Source organism: Homo sapiens, chromosome 16 (assembly GCF_000001405.40).
Source record: "Homo sapiens chromosome 16, GRCh38.p14 Primary Assembly".
In the NCBI taxonomy this organism is placed as follows: Eukaryota; Metazoa; Chordata; class Mammalia; order Primates; family Hominidae; genus Homo; species Homo sapiens.
In genome coordinates, this window is record NC_000016.10 from 87135194 (window position 1) to 87154293 (window position 19100).

The 19100-nt window shown below is 49.8% G+C and overlaps 3 annotated features.

Moving 5' to 3' along the window:
- Window positions 4947-6146: an enhancer, noted in NCBI's record as "CDK7 strongly-dependent group 2 enhancer chr16:87173746-87174945 (GRCh37/hg19 assembly coordinates)". NCBI's record gives its function as "activates an origin of replication core promoter dependent on BRD2, BRD4, P300/CBP, MED14 and CDK7 cofactors, with strong dependence on CDK7, by STARR-seq in HCT116 cells {active_cell/tissue: HCT116}" and the evidence as "EXISTENCE:reporter gene assay evidence [ECO:0000049][PMID:35650434]".
- Window positions 14909-15409: an enhancer, noted in NCBI's record as "H3K4me1 hESC enhancer chr16:87183708-87184208 (GRCh37/hg19 assembly coordinates)". NCBI's record gives its function as "activates a minimal SCP1, AML or CMV promoter by ChIP-STARR-seq in naive H9 embryonic stem cells {active_cell/tissue: H9 hESC(naive)}" and the evidence as "EXISTENCE:reporter gene assay evidence [ECO:0000049][PMID:30033119]".
- Window positions 15410-15910: an enhancer, noted in NCBI's record as "H3K4me1 hESC enhancer chr16:87184209-87184709 (GRCh37/hg19 assembly coordinates)". NCBI's record gives its function as "activates a minimal SCP1, AML or CMV promoter by ChIP-STARR-seq in naive H9 embryonic stem cells {active_cell/tissue: H9 hESC(naive)}" and the evidence as "EXISTENCE:reporter gene assay evidence [ECO:0000049][PMID:30033119]".

Consider the following 19100-nt stretch of genomic DNA (forward strand, 5'->3'; position numbering starts at 1 on the left):
GGATTCTTATTATTCCACTCTACAGAAAAGGACAATGATGTCCAGAGAATTTAAGTACTTTGTCCACAGTTACAGAGTCTAGCAAGTCACAGACCGGGCTTCAAACCCAGAAAGCTGGCCTGGTCCTTCACTTCATGTCACTTCATGTCTCTGCTTCTTCTCTCTGCTTCCACCAACTGCCAGGCTAGAGGCTTGATGGTGACAGGGAATGAAGAGCACTTCAAATTCTGGCATCGAGAAGAAAAACAGGATGTGGGAGGAACCTGGCTTTCTGTCGTTGCTTTTACTTATAGAAGCACAAAAGCTTGTGTCAAGAGCATTCACTCCAGACATAGGGACCATGCCCCTCCTAGTCCACTAATCACAATGGCAACCATTACTGCTTTAGTTGAATTCCAGCTGGCTCAAGAACACAGGGGACAGGAAGGTGCCCGGACCTTGACCCAAGAGACCTCCCTGTGAGCCCTGCCCTAGGTTCTGCCGTAGCCACTCCCAAGGCTTAGCTCCTCCCAGATTCTCTAACAGGCACCCATCTGCTGGAGACCCATAAGAAAAAGGTAGCCCAGTCCAGGAAGAGGGCACTGTGGTACCACTCTGGGGCCAGCCATATTGGGTTGTTCTAGAACATTCTGAGATGCATACACCAACAAGTCATGGGTGAACAACTGCTCTGGGTCTCCTGCAGTGGCCAGCACTGTGCTGAATCCGCATGCTTCAAGAGTATGTCGGTGACCTGGATCAATGACATCACAGCCCAGAAAGTGTACCTGGGAATGAACGCCGGATCACACTGGACACTTCCCCTTCTACAGAGAGTGAGGAGAAGCCATTGGCATGAGGGTGACCCATGGAGGAGTTGGGGGTGGGGCGGGAATAGAACTGAAATTGGTGAAGGAAATGGGATTTCAAGTCAGGGAAGAGACAAGGGGGGACGAGATATCAGTTTGGGGGAAGAGCAAAGCCAAAAATAAAGATGTTAAGGCTGGGCGCAGTGGCTCACACCTGTAATCCCAGCACTTTGGGAAGCCGAGGCAGGTGGATCATGAGGTCAGGAGTTCAAGACCAGCCTGACCAAGAAGGTGAAACCTTGTCTCTACTAAAAAAAAGATTAGCTGGATGTGGTGGTGGGCATCTGTAATCCCAGCTACTTAGGAGGCTGAGGCAGAGAATTGCTTGAACCCAGGAGGCAGAGGTTGCAGGGAGCTGAGATCACGCCACTGCACTCCAACCTGGGCAACAGAGCAAGACTCCATCTCAAAAAAAAAAAAAAAAAAAAAAAGATGTTAAAAGGTTGAAAGACCAAAGCTAGGCCAAGCATGGTGGCTCATGCCTATAATCCCAGCACTTTGGGAGGCTGAGGCACGTGGATCACCTGAGGTCAGGGGATCGAGACCAGCCTGGCTAACATGGTGAAACCATGTCTCTACTAAAAATACAAAAATTAGCCAGGTGTGGTGGCGCGCACCTGTAGTCTCAGCTACTTGGGAGGCTGAGGCAGGAGAAGCGCTTGAACCCAAGAGAAGGAGGCTGCAGTGAGCTGAGATCACGCCACTGCACTCCAGCCTGGGCGACAGAGCGAGGCTCCTTCCTTCATTCTCAGCATTGAAAGCTCTTCTTGTGTAACTGGCCCCAGACTACCTTTCCAGCTTCAAAATAATGTTGTGCATAGCTCCCTATAGGAGCAGAGGCAGTGATACCAGGGAGAACTCTCCTTTCCAGGATGCCAAGAGCTCGCCGTTCATTCTCCCCACTCTGTGCCCTTGTCAGACCTCAATCATCAATCCCAGGCCTCTAGAAAGTCTTTGCCAGCTGATGAGACTTTGTGCCTGAAACAAAACCATTTTCTATACCTGCTTCACCCAGGAGATTTTTCCCCTTCTATATTTGCTCTTTGGTTGTTTATGGTCATAATTTCCCACCCTTTGGGCCACCAAATAGTTCCATGGCCTCTGCAGCAGTCTCCAGGCTGCCCTCCAGTCATTGGGGTAACACCTCCATGGTCAGGTTGTCTTTTTTTCTGAGTTATGCAGTTGGAACCTTGGACGCAAGTTGTCTTTGGTGGTTTTCAACCTTGGGATTTTGGACCAAATGCTGCCTTCTCTGTGACCCATTTCTTTCCATCGAAAGGTGTGTGTAAGTCTTGCTGAAAAACTGAATCCAAGACTGCTCTGTATTGAATCCATCCCCCAAAAAGCATGCGTTGCAAACTTAATCTTCAATGCAACAGTGTTGGGAGGTGGGGCCTAATGGGAGGGGTTTAGGTCATCACGGCCCCACCCCCATGGAAGGATTAATGACAATTACAAAAGGGCCTGGGTCTGTGAGTTGGCCGCATTGCTATCTCTGGCTCTCTTACACTTCTGCTGTGGGATGACACTGCCAGAAGTTCCTCACCAGATGCTACCCCTCGATCTTGGACTTCCCAACCTCCAGAACCATGAGCCAAATAAATTTCTGTTCATTATACATTTCCCAGCCTGTGGCATTCTGTTATAGCAGCATAAAATAAGACAAGGACATCACTGTCTAGAGGCTGGAATGGTGCTTTGGGCCAGGACCAGCAGTCCTGGAGCTGCCAAGTCTCCCAAAGGAGACCTTCCTGAAGTCTTCTCCATCAGAGTCATTTTGGTGCTATCTCCAAAACAGCATCATTAAAATGTAAAAATGCTACCCAGGAAAGGGAACCTCTGAGTCTTCTCACACCTGCCTGGTCAAAGCTTCTTTAGTTGTATGTAACATAAAACCGACTTGAGCTAGCTTAAGCTAAGAACGATTTTTTAAAAATAAAATAAGGTTAATAAAGAAGCTGAATTATTATAAGAAAAGACGGTGGGGCCTCAGCACACCCTGTGCAGCCACACAGGACATTGCCTCAGAGAGCCTCGGGCTTGGCTTAACACTCAGCCATTGCCATCTGGAAATTCTTAACAACTTGACCTTTGACCAGCTCAACCCTGCTGGGAACCTCAGGAGATGGTATAGAACACTTCTCAGCATATCCCACCCAAAAGGTGAGGAATTGGGGGTATTTATCTTCCAACTCCCATCCATGGCTGCTGAGGACCCCCTAGCACCCCTGGTCTGCCCATGTGTGGGCTGAGAGGAGCTATCAGGTGGGGACAGGAACTGCCAATTGGGACATTTTTGGTACTTACACAAGGTCACCAGCATGCACTGTGTCTTAGTCCAAAATATCTGAGACTGGGTAATTTATAAGAAGCAGAACTTACCCTGCTCTGGAGGCTGGGATGTCCAAGATCAAGGTCCTGGCAGGCTTCATGTCAGGTGAGGGCCTGGACCCTGCTTCCACGGTGGCGCCTTGTTGCTGTGCCCTTCAGAGGGGAGGAGTACTGCGTCCTTAACTGACAGAGGAGACAGAAGGGCAAAGGATGTGGCTATTTCTCCAGAGCCTTTTATAAGGCACAGATCCCATTAACAAGGGAGGGGCCACCACGGCCTAATCACCCTCTAAAGTCCCCACCTCCAAATACTATCATATGGGGTCTTAGTTTCCAACACAGGAATCTAGGGAGATAGAAACATTCAGACCATCACAAGCTGAGCGTGAGAGTGCCCAGGGCACAGGCAGGGCAGTGGCAACCTCAGGCACAGTCAATCGCAGGAAGTAGGGAATGGATAACTAGGTGGCTCTTATGTAGAATGGTACCATTGAGAACGCCGCACCCAGCTGCCACCTTCCAATTCTAGGCAGGGTTTGATGCTGAGACAAGCTAAGAATCTCAGAAACTCAGGGCCGCACCCTCCCACTCCACCGATGTGTGAACACATAGAACATAGCATTTCAATTATGCCACGCCCGGTCTCAAAATTCAGAATTAAATGCAAACTCACCCCCATTTCCAAGCACAAGGCCGGGTGCTTTGTGATCTGGGCCCCTGACCCCGACCTCTAACTCTGACCCCTGTCCACCTCCCCCAGGACCCCCATGCCCTGCACTCCAGCTGCACGTGCCTTTTCTCACCCAAGCCCATTCCCACCTTTGGGTCCATCTAGCACCTTTGTCCTCTGCCTGCAGCGTCTCCTTCTCCCCGTCATGTCTGGATCCTTGTTATCTTCAGAGGGCAGCTCAGATGTCACCTGCTCAAAGGAGCCTCCACAGACCACACTGGCTCCCCTCACGTTAAGTTCCAGCGAGGCACCCTGTTTCCACAAAAGCACACGTCACAATCGATCATTCAGTTTTCATTTATTTCCTTTCTAATCCCCTGTCTCTACACTCATGTCAAATCCCATGAGGGCAGGGACTGTGTTTTGCCCACCACTGCATCCCCAGAGCCTAGCACGGCTCCCTGAGGCACAATGTTTGGAAAATGAATGAATGCGTTTCACTTCCTGAAGTTTTCCATGTTTAAAGGGAACCTCCAGAAGGCACCACTAAAACAGAAAATATTTCAGGCAAAATGGCTGTAACATGTGGCAGCTAGCCCCCAGACATCCACGAGCTTGGGGGTTTAATGCTGCCCCAAGAATGGCCCCACCCGAACCCCTGGAACCTGTGACTATGTTACCTTCTGTGGCAGAGGGGAATTCAGGTAGCAGATGGAATGGAGGTTGCCAATCTGCTGACCTTAAAATAGGGAGATTCCCCTGGGTTATCCAGGTGGGTCAAATGCAATCACAAGGTCCTTAATATGGAAGAAGGAGGCTGAATAGACAATCAGAGAACGATGTGATGACAGAGGCTGAGGTCAGAAAGATACAATGTTGCTTCAAGATGAAGGAGGGGCCATGAGCCAAGGAATGCAGGCGGCCTCTAGAAGCTGGAAAAGGTAAGGAAGGGATTCTCCCCTGGAGCCTCCAGAGGAACTAGCCCTGCCCACACCTTGATTCTAGCCCAGTGAGACGCAGGTCGGACTTCTAGCTTCCAAAACTTGTGTTGTTTTCAGCCACTAAATTTGCAGTACTTTGTTACCACAGCCATGGGAAGCATGCACTGTTAACAGGCTTTCTCTAAGCAGATACTAACTCACTTGATTCTCGCAGCAGCCCTGCGCAGGGGTACCAGTGCTATTCTTATTTTATGGATGAAGAAACGGAGGCATGGAGAGCTTAAGTTGCTGGCCAGGTTCCACCGCTAATGAGGGCAGAGCTGGGGCCATAAGCCAGGTGGTGGGCTCTGGAGTCCATGCTGGTGCCAACCGTACGACGATGGCCGCCAGGGGCTCTGCAGGGATTGAATGAGGTCACAGGGGGAGGCATGTGCCACGTGGCAAACCATGTGGCCTGTAGGATTGACTTCATCCTGCTTAAAAGGCCACCGACTTTCCTCTTCCGGAGTGATACCGCACGGCTTTCCATCGCTGTCCTTGGCTCGGGGGACATTGGTAAGCAGATGACTTACTGGTCAGTCACGCTGTCGCAGAAACGACGTGGGCTTGGGACCGGTGACAGAAGGCCTGGGTCAGAACTTCCACGTTCCCCACGACTGCGGGACCTTGCCAAGCCCTGTGTGTGAGTGCCCTGCAGATCACCTTCAACGCATGCCTGCCTCTCGTCACTCAGAAGTGCCTGCGGCTGCACCATCTTCTTCCTCCTGAGCCCTGATCCACTGCCCTGTGAACTTCCAGAGCCAACGTGGTTCCTGTTCGCCCCTGTCCAGCAAAGAAGGAGGAGTCGCCTCCTGAAAGTGGGGGAGCTTTGGTCTTCCTTGCCCTGCCCCGCGTTCAAGTGATACACAACATGTGGATGTTGAGATGGATTTTCTCCTCAAATGATCCCTCCAGGAGGGCAGGCTGAGCGCTGTGAAAAGCAGCTGTGTACTCATCTAAGGAGAGGGCCGGCAGCCATGGAAAACAGCCCTGCCCGGCTCCCTGCGCGACACAGACAGCCCCTCAGCCTCACTTCCTGCTGCCTCTCTCCCCGGGACCCTGGCGCCGGTTGCGTTCTGCTCTGAAAAACAAGAAAGGATTTCGGTGAGAAGCAGGAGGCAGTTGAGCTCTGCAAAGGGGCTCTGGGTTTTTTAAAAATTAAAAATTAAAAATAAATTATCAGCGACTTCAGGGAAAAAAGCATTTCTCTCCAATCCAGGCACTGTTAACCTTCTGGGGATCTCAGACCCCTCTGGAAGTCTTACAAAGCCAATAAGCTCTTCTCAGAATGTTTTCAAATGTATAAAATTTGTGAAATTACAAAAGAAACAATTACATTGAAATAGTTATCAAAATATTTTAAATTGTGATATAGTCAGATGTGTGCTTTTTTAGAAACATGGATCTCACAGAGAGTCTAATAACGTCCTTACCTCGAAGTAGCACTTGAGCTCAAATTAGAGTTTGGAAAAGCAGCCATGGCTATATATGATGAGAAAAGATCTGTGATTTTGTTGGTGACAAAATGACAGATTCTGCTAACGTGATTGGCTTGTTGCCTATGTCCATCATGGAAGGAAAAGCTAAATTTCAATTGGGCCTTAGAGAAGATAAAGATGCGATCATTTTCCCTCCAGTTTCACCAGTCCCCTAAATTATCCCATGGATATGTTGGTTAGGACTCCAGGGATAATCCGAACACTCCTGACTGTCATTTGAGTCTTGCTCAGTGAGTTAACAAGAGAAATCCCTCAGCAATAAACCTGCAATAAAATTCAGGCGAGCACACGAAGTCTATGAGATTCTAAATTTTCTGTTTTAAAAAAGGCACCCTCAGAGAAGGGGAAAAGCTTGAAACAAATTTGGTTGTTATTTCTAAGTACAGTAGTCAGAGGAGTTCTTTTTTTCCTTTTTTGTTCATCATCTATATGTCATTTTTATTATTAAACTGGTAGCGTAAAAAGGGGGCCTTCCATAGATAGTGATGACTATAAGCAGAAAGCTTTCGTTTTAACATTCTACAAGAGTACTGTTTGGATGATCTACAATGGAGGCATATTACATTTTAAATTAAAAGCTAATACAGGCTGCATACTGTGGCTCACGCCTATAATCCCAACACTTTGGGAGGCTGAGGTGGGCAGAAAGCTTGGGCCCAGGAGTTCAAGACCAGCCTGGCCAACATGGTGAAACCCCGTCTCTACTAAAAATACAAAAATTAGCCATTGTGGCACGCGCCTGTAGTCCCAGCTACTTGGGAGGCTGAGATGGGAGAAATGCTTGAGCCCGGGAGGCAGAGGCTGCAGTGAGCCGAGATTGCACCACTGTACTCTAGCCTGGGTGACAGAGCCAGACTCTGTCTCAAACAAAAAAAAAAGCTAATACATAACCATTGAGTTGTATACTTTAAGTGAGTGAATTGTATGGTCCACAAATTGTATCTCAAAAAAGCAACTGAAAATGTTTAATTAATAAGATTTGGACACTGAACTTGGACATGTGATTACCTTGGACAAATTGTTAATTAATTAAAAGCTAATCATTCAAACTATAAAAGAAAAATTATGACTCATTTGGGAAATGCAAACATTGTTTGCATATGGGATGATATTGAGTAACTATTGTTACATATTCTAGGTGTAATAATAATATTATGGTTATGTTAACAGGAAAGGTCCTAAGTGTACAGAGCTTCTGTGCTATTACTCACAAATGCATGTGAGTCTATAATTAGCTAAACATAAAATGTTGCATTAAAAAAAGAGAGAGCTCCTTATCTTTTAGAGATACATATTGAAATAGCTAGACGTGAAAATATAGATCATGAATTTGTTTCAAAATAGTGCTACTTGGGGTTGTCAGGGTAGAAGTATAGAAATAAGATCGGTGAGGGGATCTCTGTTAATATTGGGTGGTGGGTACACAGAACTTTGTTATACTTTTGTATATACTTGAAATTTTCCATAATCAAACTTCTTTTTTTAAAGATTAGAGACAGTGTCTTGCTATATTGCCCAGGCTGGTCTCAAACTCCAGGTCTCAAGCGATCCTTCCACCTCAGCCTCCCAAAGTGCTGGGATTACAGGTGTGAGCCACCACGCCCTGCCCAAACATTTGTAAATGCTCACCATTTTGAAAAATGAATTGGAGAAGCAGTAATAAGGAAAATTGCAGAAGGTAATCAGGTTTCTAGAAAAATTAAGTTTGGTGCTTTGAAAACTCAAGAAAGAAAGAATCCCTGTATTTGCCACTGTTCTCCTTTTGTTTTATAAGTTGAGGGAGTTTTAATAAATAAACTTATCGTCGTTACTCCCCACCTAACACAAACCAGCACCAAAGGGGAAGAAAGCCTGCCCAATGTTCAACTGTAAGGCAGCTCGGCTTTCAGAATGCCCCCCGGGGGGTGCAAAGGAGTCCTGGAATCCAGACGCAGCCTGGGGCCCCAGGCCTGCCTCAGCCACGGGCAATCCCTTCCCCACTCCAAGCCTCAGTTTCCCCACTGTCGGACTGAGGAGTTTTGCACTGCACAAGCCTCTAGGCTTCTTTCCAGCTGGTGCACTCTGTGATCATCGGAGATGTGTTTACTTGGGCCCTAGCTGAGCAGGGCCCAGGCCCAGAGCCTGCAGGCCGCCCTCCATCACGCAGGCTCTGACACATCCCAGGGAAGTTACAAGTCCCCGCTGCTTCCAAAACCATGGCGCTCCACGCCCCACTGCAGCCCAGCATGCGAGGCCGGGCGGAGGTTTCCATATGAATGCCTCTCAGGTTGCCCAGGGCTGGCCTGAGGGTGTTTACAGGGACCTGACGGTTGAGGGGAGAGGGTGTGAGCAGCATTGGGCCCCTCTCAGGCCTGGCCGGTGGGCGTCCCCCATCCTTTGGGCCTCACTGTGCCCTACCTGCCCGCACCTCCCAGAGCCCTGGCTCATCTGCTCCTGGGTCTGTGCCAGCTGTTCCTGGGAAGTGACCTGGGAGGCTGCAGACTCATGGGACCTGGCAGTGGCCAAGAACAACAAGGGCTTCATGGGGGCCGCTGGCAGACGATGAGGCACAGGCAAGGCGTGGGCCCCGTGGGGTGCCCTTGACCCTCTTACATGGGCCAAATTCACACCCAAGCCCTGCAGGCTCTGAGACGGTGTGGCTCGCCTTCTCGCTACATTCAGGAATCTGGCTCATTCTGCCTTTTTGGGCTCTGGACATCCTGGCCCCAAGCCACCACTGCATCCTGACCTGGAAACCTCCCCTAGAAGCATCTTCCTTAGGAACAGACATTCTCCAGCAATGGTTCCACAGAAACACGACCTCTGGGATATCTGCGGGCACTACACTACCAAGGGCCTACAGTGCAATGAGTCTGGGAAACGCCGAGTAAAACAAAATGACACGTGTCTTCCCGCAGGCCTTCTCAGAGCATTTACTGCGCCAGCGTGCGTTGTGAATTTCAACCACTGAGAGGGGCACGTGGGATGTAGCATGGCCTCTGCTGATCTGACCCCTGAACTTGGTTATTAATCAGCATCTCATGGACTGATGGTCTGTGTACTTCAGGAAATACAACTTCAGACAGTAATCCTCTCCGCTGGTGTCAGCATGTAACAATCAGAGGCTGTGGGGAGGTTTTCAGTGCCATTCTGTCCTTTCATTTGGAGTTTGCGGGGTTTTCTTAGTCAATCCCATCCACCCTGGCGCTGTATTTTGGCAACTGACCTTTTCAACCCAAATGCAGGACTTATATTGTCTGTACTGATCTGCTTGGATTCCTGTCCCAGTGACTCTGACAGTCATGGCTGGGGCCACATCTGTTCTTAAGAGTGAGTGTTTTCTGGCCTCCAAACGTTCAACCACTTGAGAAAATTTTACAGAGCCCCTCATGTATGCAAGACCCTGGGCAAGGAATTGTCAGGCCGATAGGGGATGCACAGAGGATGTCCCACCCACCGAAGCACAGCAGGTCCCTCTCACTCTGCTTACGCCTTGTGACTATCCCAGCCTATGGGACCTCAACAGTAACTTTGGAAATAACCAGAAGATGTTTCACTAAAGCAAGGAGTTCAATCCCACAAGTCTAAGATCAGGGCCAGCAAATAGAAAGGCAGAGGTGAGGAGCTGCTCACTTTATCAGTTTCAATCACAGGCAGGGGTGAGGAGCTACTGGCATTAGCTCCAGTCACTGGCAGGGGTGAGGAGCTGCTCACTTTATCAGTTTCAATCACAGGCAGGGGTGAGGAGCCACTGGCATTAGCTCCAATCACAGGCAGGGGTGAGAAGCTGCTCACATTCTCAGTTTCAATCACAGGCAGGGGTGAGGAGCTACTGGCATTAGCTCCAGTCACGGGCAGGGGTGAGGTGCTGCTCACATTATCAGTTTCAATCATGGGCAGAGGTGAGGCGCTGCTTGCATTCTCAGCTCTAGTCACCATCCCCGCCCAGTGTTGACGTACAGCGGTGACAATCTGACCCCAAAGCCATTTTGTCCGTCTGGGGTGGGACAGCGACTCCCAGGGCGGCCTCCTCGGGTCCCCTGGAGAACTTCACCCTACCCTCACACTTCCTCCCTGCGCCGATGACTCACTGCCATGTAACAAATGACACCACAGCCAATGGCTGCGGCAGCAGCGGTTTTAGGAGAGCTCCTGAATTCGTGAGTCATCAGCTTGGGCAGGCCCCAGAGGGTGACGCTTCCTTCTTCGGGCCCTCAAGGGATGGGCAGTAAAAGGTTAAGCTGACCCACAGAAGGTCTGACCTTTGCCCTTGGCTCCTGGGGTGTCACCTCTAGGCCCTTGGAGAGTCCTCCCTGGTGTATCTTTGTTTAGCTGGGGCTTTGGCCACCCTGGACAGTCTATGCTAATGATGAGATTCATGGTGGGGCCTTGGACCACGTGGCATCAGCTCGACCTGCAGAGGGGCTGGAGGTTAAGGTCAGTCACATGGTGTCAGCCGTGCCCACGTGACCAAGCCCCAACAAAGACTCTGGACACCGAGGCTGGGGGAGCGTCCCTGGTTGGTAATGCTCTGTGTGTGCCATCACACGCTGTTGTCATGAGGAGTTAATGCTGGCCACGACTCCATGGAGAGGGACAGCTGGAAGCCCTGTGCAAGAAACCCTCCTGGACCTGCACCATGTGTCCCTCTCCTTGACTGAGTTATTTTTATTTTATTTTTTGAGACAGGGTCTCAATCTATCTCCCAGGCTGGAATAGAGGGGTGCAATCACAACTTACTGCAGCCTTGACCTCCCAGGCTCAAGCAATCCTCCCACCTCAGCCTCCCAAGTAGCATGCCACCATGCCTGGCTAATTTTTTTACTTTTTTTTGTAAAGAGAGGCTCTCACTATGTTGCCCAGGCTGGTCTCAAGCAATCCTCCTGCCTCAGCCTCCCAAAGTGCTGGGATTGAGGGCATAGCCACCACGCCCAGCACTCTTGGCCAATTTAAATCTCATCCTGTAATAAACTGTAACTATGAGTAGGGCCATGTTTGGCTTTGATTTCTGTGAGCCCTTCTAGCAAATTATCAAACCTAAGGGTGGACTTGGGGACCCAAAAACTTTGTAGTTGGTATCAGAAGTGACTGTGGTCTGGGAGACTTCAGCTGGTGGGTGCATAGGCCTGGAGGGTCCAAGGTGGCTTTGTTCACATGTCTGGAGTCTGGACAGGTTAGCTGGAAGGCTGGGCTCATCTGGGATTTCAGCCACAACACCTACATGTGGCCCCTTTGGAAGACACTATCAGACTAACTGGACTTCTTACACAGAGGCTGACTTAACCCTGAATAGGTGTCCAAAGGGGAGCCTTCCCAGAGGCAGAAGTGGAAGGGCCTGTCTCTTGAGGCCTGGCTTAGAATCTGGACAGCGTCACTCTGCCACATTCTGTTGGCCCAGCAGTCACGGAGCCCATCCAGACCTGAGGGGAGAAGTGGGAAGAACTCGTAACCCTCCTTTCCCTGCCACACTCACTCCTCTTGCCCTGGGGTTTGCCGAGTCCTCTCATTTCCCACCTGGGCTTTCTCCCCGCTTTCACTGACATGGACTTGGGACAGCCCCCACCCCATCCATGGTGTTATGCCAGGCCCCAAGCCTCAGATCATGGAAAGAGACATGTTCACCTGGACCCTGTGAATGTGGCCTTATTTGGAAAAAGAGTCTTTGCAGATGTAATTCTGTTAAGGATTTTGAGATGAGGTCATGCTTTATTATCCAGGGAGGCCTGAAACTCGATTGCCAGTGTCCTTTTAGGAGACAGGAGAGCAGAGACAGGTAGTTGCAGATGAGGGGTGGCAGGAAGACAGAGCTAAGAGTAAAGTGATCCATCTCCAAGCCAAGGAAGTCCCAGGATGGCCAGCAACACCAGAGGCTATAGAGACAACAGATTCTCCTTCTGACCTCACAAGAGGGCACCAACCCTGACGACACCTGGATTGTAGGTTTCTGGCCTCCAAAACTTGGAGAGAAGAGTGCCTGTTTAAAGCCACCCTGCTTGCGGTCATTTGTTATCATTTCTTATGGCAGCGCTAGGGCACTCACAGGCCTTCTGCAGCACGCTTGGCTCTACCGTCTGAAGCCATCTACCAGGAGCCTGGGATCCCTTCCTGAGTCTTTGAATCAACTTCCATGCCTAATAAGGGCTCTGCCCAGGCCCTCTTGCCCTTGTCCGATGGTTTTACACTGTGGGGATACACTATGAAGAGCCAACATGTTGAAAACTCAACTCCCCATTGGGATTTGAGTCCTAAGTCCTTATCTCTTGCTAAGGAATGAACCCTAAGTCCATGAGAGGGTGGGAGGAGACAGAGATCTTGGAAGCCAGAGTTGCTTCATGAGCAGACCAAGGCCTATGGCAAACTCTCTCTAGAAGAAGCAAGTGTAAAACTGGACAAAATTGTTACGAACAACCATGTCAGCGTTCTGGAAATTAACCAAAGGCAGACAACAAACTGAGAAGCATCTATGCTTGAAAAACAGCTTCAGGCTGGGCGTGGTGGCTGACGCCTATAATCCCAGCACTTTGGGAGGACCAGGCAGGTAGATCACCTGAAGTCAGGAGTTCGAGACCAGCCTGGCCAACATGGTGAAACCCCATCTATACTAAAAATACAAAAATTAGCAAGGCATGGTAGTGGGCGCCTGTAATCTCAGCCACTCGGGAGGCTGAGAAAGGAGAATCGCTTGAACCCGGGAGGTGGAGGTTTTGGTGAGCTGAGATCACACCATTGCACATCATCCTGGGCAGCAAGAGTGAAACTCCATCTCAAAAAGAAAAAGCAAAAGAAAAACAGCTTCAGCTTTGGGTAAGAACACTGGGAGTTGCTGCCTTCTTATCTGGATCCTCTCCCATCTCCCCACCCTTCTTGATCAGCAGAAAATACAGCTTTGCCAGCATGGAGTTGGCTTTGAAAACCAGTGCCTGGGCCACCAGATGGAGCAGATTCGGAGGTCGGGGGATAAAAATCCAAGGCTTGGTCAGCTAACAGGGGTGATCTGAAAACAGGCAGAGAACGCTCACAGCTTTGGTGGCCAGAGGCTGAGGCCTCAGCTGGGCTGAGCAGCAAAGCAGTCAGAGGTCCATGAGAGAGGCATAGAAGATCGATAACAGATTGCCCCTGGTCCCTGGTTGTCTAGAAAACTGCTTCTGCCCAGGGGAAACCAAGGAGCCCACTGGGAAGTGAAAGCAAAGGAAGATCTGAAAATTGGAGGGCTTTAAACACACTCCCCAACTGTATGAGTCCATTCTCACTCTGCTATAAAGAACTGCCCAAGCCTGGCTAATTTAGAAAGGAAAGAGGTCTAATTGATTCACAATTCAGCATGGCTGGGGAGGCCTCAGGAAACTTATAATCATGGTGGAAGTTGAAGGGGAAGGAAGACATCTTCTTCACAAAACGGCAGGAAGGAGAAGGAACCCCATGATTCAGTTACCTCCACCTGATCTCTCCCTTGACACGTGGGGATTATGGGGATCACAATTCAAGATGAGATTTGGGGCAGGGACACAGCCAAACCATATCACCAACCTGTGGACAGATCTACTGCAGATAATGTAAGCCTTCAGGCTCAAGGTGTTTAAGCACAACATCAACCAAGTCATTGACTGAACACTAAGTTATGCAGAGACAAAGGAAAACACCAGGAAGCCAGGCTAAAAAATAAAAAATAAGAATCAAGCAAGACTGAGCAGAGACATAAGTGGCTGCACATTACAAGGAGAGTTGAACTTTGCAGTTTGAGTCAAGGAACATTACTTAAGAAAAAAAAAAGAAGAAAAAACAAAACAACTCTCAGAAATATGATTCATGAGCCAGGCACAGTGACTCACACCTATAATTCCAGCACTTTGGGAGGCCCAGGTGGACAGATCACTTGAGGTCAGGAGTTCGAGACCAGACTGGCCAACATGGTGAAACCCTATCTCTACTAAAAATACAAAAAAATTAGCCAGGCATGGTGGTACACACCTGTAGTCCCAGCTACTCAAAGGCTGAGACAAGAGAATTGCTTGAACCTGGGAGGCAGAGGCTGCAGTGAGTTGAGATCATGCCACTGCACTCCAGCCTGGGCAATAGAGCAAAACTCCATCTCAAAGGGGAAAAAAAAAAAAAGAAATATGATTTAGGACTCAGATTTGCTGGAATACATTACTTTAAACGCCCAGCACTATGGAAAGGCCCCTGTAGCAAGAAACTGAGGCCTTTTGCCCACAGCCATGTGAGGGAGCCACCTTGGAAGCAGAGCTGCCAGTCTCGGTCAAGCCTTCAGATGAGACTGCGGCCCAACTGCCATCTTGTATTACAGCCTCATGAGAGACCACAGCCACCCAGTTGAGCTGCTCCTGAGTTCCCAACCTTCAGAAACTGTGTAAGATACTAAATGTTTATTGTTGTCTTAAGCAGCTAAATTTAAGAAAAAAATTTGTTTTACAGCAGCAGATAATTATACATGTGGCTTCTTCAATGGTGGGGGAGGGAGCAGGAAGGGCTCTGTTTTCCCTTTGGTGCAGGAGCTATGGAAACTCTGTAGCAAATTTAAATTAGTTCCACAAACATGAGTTAGGCTCCTGGGCCCACAGAAGCAGTTTGTAAGTGAACATAATATTCTAAACATTAAAAAAAAAAAAAAAGTCACCCATTCTCAATGCATTTGCTCCTACGAGATTTGTTTTTTTCCTTTCTGCATAGAACAATAACGTCAGGATCCCTGATTCTCTTCCTATGGATGGGAACAGTGGGCTCTGGGTGTAAAGTGAGCTCAGCATTTATTCTTGTTCATCAGTGAAATGAGCACAGCCCAGCCCTGAGAGGATTCCATGCTTGGGTGGCAACAAGAAAATCAAATAAAACTGCACATATTCCAGGAGGAGCTGCCATTGAAAACGTGGTGCTAATTGGCTCCCTTGAGGGATCTTCCCAGGGGTGAACAGGGAGGAAGGGCGAGAGAATGTGGGCTCCACAAGGCAAACATTGAGAACATTCAACACCGTGAGGAGCCGAGAGCGATCCAAGCAGGGCGGTGGATGAATTAAGCTCAAGGCTGGGCAAGGAGGGGCCGCTGCCGGCAAGACTGGTGTGAGCACCACAGGAGGCCACCAGCACGGCGCCGTGCTCCAGAGGAGAACGTCGAGGCCAGAGCTCCATGCCCCATACTCCATCCCCCGTCTGACCATGAAACCCAAGGGACATTTGTTCCAGATATCAGAGGGCAATCTTACCACAGGGATGGGGGATGAGCACCACCCTGCGTCTGATTTGTGGCAGTCATGAGGGTCACCATTGTCACCATCACCATCATCAGCCACGCACCCGCTGCAATCCTACAAGGCAGGTACTATTATTCTCCCCTCTTTACTAATGAGGAAACTGAGGGTCAGAGATGGTGATTCACTTGCCTAAGGTCACACAGCTTATAGGTCTGTTCAAAACAGTCTCCAAGCCCAGATCTGTTTGACTCCAAACCCCATGTCTTAGCTACTATCATATACCTTGCATAACATTAGTGAATAATATGCCAGTAACAATTCCTTTTGTAATATTTCAATAGTACCACTGCCCAAAATTCTGAGGCATAGTTCTTAGTTGTTGGGTGTCATGTTACAGTCCATTTAAAAGTCTTTAGGAAAACAGAAAGTACTGGAGACTTCAGGGCTGCAAGGAAGAGACTATACGGGAGAGTTCTGTTTTCTTTCTTTCATTCTTTTTTTTTTGTTAACATTACCTAATTCCACTTAAGGGGAACAGTTTGATTTGAAAGGGAAAGGAGCAGACAGAGACCACAACTTGTCGAGGATAATTTTTTTATGGTTCCCCTCCAAAGTAGTAGTTCATCCGTGGTTCTTACTTGATGTCTTTCATCTTCAGTAGATTTTTTTGAATAGGTAAGACGTTTACATGACTCAAAACGCAAAAGGAACCAGAGCATCCAGTAGAAACCCCCTGCCCACCATTTCCCTGTCACCCAGCTAGTTCCTCCGTGTCTCCTCCCAGAAACGTTTTTGGTAAATTCCTTTTCACCAGATTGCAGCAGGTCATCTACTCTTCTACAGGCTGATTTGTTCACATCACAACATACCTTAAATGAGTAAAGTGCATAATGCTGTTGCTAGCACCCAGTGGGTGATACGGGTTGGATGGGTGTCTCCTCCAAATCTCGGGGTGAAATGTGAATCCCAGTGTTGGAAGTGGAGCCTGGTGGGAGGCGTTGGATCATGGGGGCAAGATCCATCATGAATGGCCCCTTGGTCATGAGTGGGTTCTCACTCAGTGACTTCACACAAGATCTAGTTGTTTAAAAGAGTCTGGGGCAGGGCACGGTGGCTCGCGCCTGTAATCCCAGCATTTTGGGGAACCGAGGTGGGCAGATCACTTGAGATCAGGAGTTCAAGACCAGCCAGGCCAACATGGCAAAACCCCGTCTCTACTAAAAATACAAAAAAAATTAGTCAGGCATGGTAGCGCATGCCTATAATCCCAGCTACTTGGAAGGCCGAGGCAGGAGAATCGTTTGAACCCGGGAGGCAGAGGTTGCAGTGAGCCAAGATCATGCCACTGCACTCCAGCCTGGGTGACAGAGCAAGGCTCGGTCTCAAAAAAATAATAAAATAAAGTAAAAGAGTCTGGGGCCTCCTTCCTTCTCCCTCTTGCTCCCACTCTCGACATGTGATATGCCAGCTCCCTGTTCACCTTCCGCCATGATTGAAACCTTCCTGAGGCCTCACCAGAAGATGAACAGATGCCGGTACCATGCTTCCTGTACAGCCTGCAGAACTGTGAGCTGATGAAACCTCTTTTCTGTATAAATTACCCAGCTTTTCTTTACAGATTTCCAGGGGGAAAGTGCCGTGCCATGCCGTGCGTGTGCCGGGTGGATCGGCTTTGTTTCTCCAGCTCCCACTCCTTGGCGCATATTCTCTCCTCTGGGCCCTCGGCGACCCCGCTTTTCTGCACACATTCCCTGTGGCTGCCGTCACAAACCACTGACTCTGCACCTTAACATAACACACTTGTCCTCCCACCCTTCTAGAGACCAGAAGTCCAAAACGAGCCTCACTGGGCTAAATCAAGGCATGGGCAGGGCTGGCTCCTTCTACGGGCTCCAGGGAGAATCCCTTTCCGCATCTCTCTGGGCTTCTAGCACCCGCCACACTCCTTGGCTCGTGGCCACTTCACTCCAGTCCCTGCTCAGCCGTGCGTGGCCTCTTCTCTTCCGTTTAGAATCTCCCTCTCCCTCCCTCTAATAAGAATGCTTGTGGCTTCATTTAGGGTCCACCTAGAAAAATCTCTTCCCCTCAAGAACCCTAAGCACCTCGCCAAGGCCCTCTTGTCCTGGAAATAGCATGCACAGTGTGGGGGCTGGGACCTCTCTGGGGAGCCCTCTCGCACTCTCCTTCACCCTGAGCTTCAGCAAGCTCTTCCAGAGAAAGGAGCTCATCAAGTCACTCTCACTGGGCTTAAAATAAAACCCCTAGGCTGGGATCTGTGCCGTCATTAAGAGGCTCCAACTTTTGGTCCTTGGAGAAGACTGAAGTTTGGTCAAGGTGCAGTTTGGCCGTTGACAATGGAGCAGAGACTGTGCCTCTCTCAGCCACACCAGGGAGGTGACTGCTTGACATCAACCCTAGGGAAGCTGTGGTGGGACAGACTCTGTCTCTTGAAGGAAAGCCTCTGGGCAATTTGGAACCCAGGCCTTCCGAAACCCCATGCATGCCCTGGGTCATTCCGCGGGCTCTCCCGGCACAGCCCTTGCTTTCTAAAGGCGGGAAACTGGGCCTCAGAAAATCTAAGCCCTTTGCCCTCCTGGATCTCCCTTGGGAGCCTTGAGGGTGGAAGGCAGAGGGGGCGAAGAAGGAGAGGTTTCCACGGCCTGGTGGAGCCTGAGACCCTGAAAATGAAAGGGACCAGGACCCCTTTCCAGGAGGAAGCCCAGGTTATTTAGAGCCCTTCATCGCCCTCACGCAGCCCTGCTCCTGCAGTGCCCAGTGGGAAGGCGCTGCTCTCACCAAGCAGGGGCCACCAGGACACAGGTTGAGTGGGGAGGACAAGGTACCCCCCAGACCCCACTGGGGATGTCTGTTCCTTGTCAGTGCAACACGGAGGGATCAGACCCTCTAGGGAACCAGCCCTGGGGTGAACCACAGCGACCTCTTTGGTCAGGGCCACCGGAGAGGATGGCAGGGCCTGACCTGGCACCTGGGGGCTCTGCATGGGAAGCTGTCTCTCCCAGACTCCAGGGTCCCAGTCTCCTGGGGGACCAGGGGTCAGGAGGCCACCTCTGGGAGCCTGCCTCAATTTACCTTTCCAGTCTATGTCCTTTATTGGGATATCCAGGAGCAATTGTTCAGGCACTTCAAGCCCAAATTCTACTTGAACCTGAATTCTGTTTGAATTCAGGTGCTACTTGAGACGCAAGGTTGGGGCCTGGAGCTGCCCTCCCTGGGGAGGGGCAGAGTGTGGCTAGCCCTGCGGGAATTGTTTTTCCGAGACTGGAGTGTGACTGGCTGACGGGTGTGGACAGTCATTTGGGAATTTACCTCCAACCCTCCACTTTGCCTTGGGTTTGTAGACAGGGTGAGCCGTCAAGAATGTAACTTGGCATAGACCCTGAAGCTGGGGCAGAGGACAATGGATGCTTCCAGCATCATGGCTGCCCTCCCGTCCATGGCACAGAACACATTTCTCCTCAGAGGTCGCTCCTGGTCTCATCCTCGGGTGGTAGCACTCACAGCATTATAACCACGTCTCTCCAGCCATCCAGGGAAAACGCCAAAGATGTTACACGATATGGCAGTTT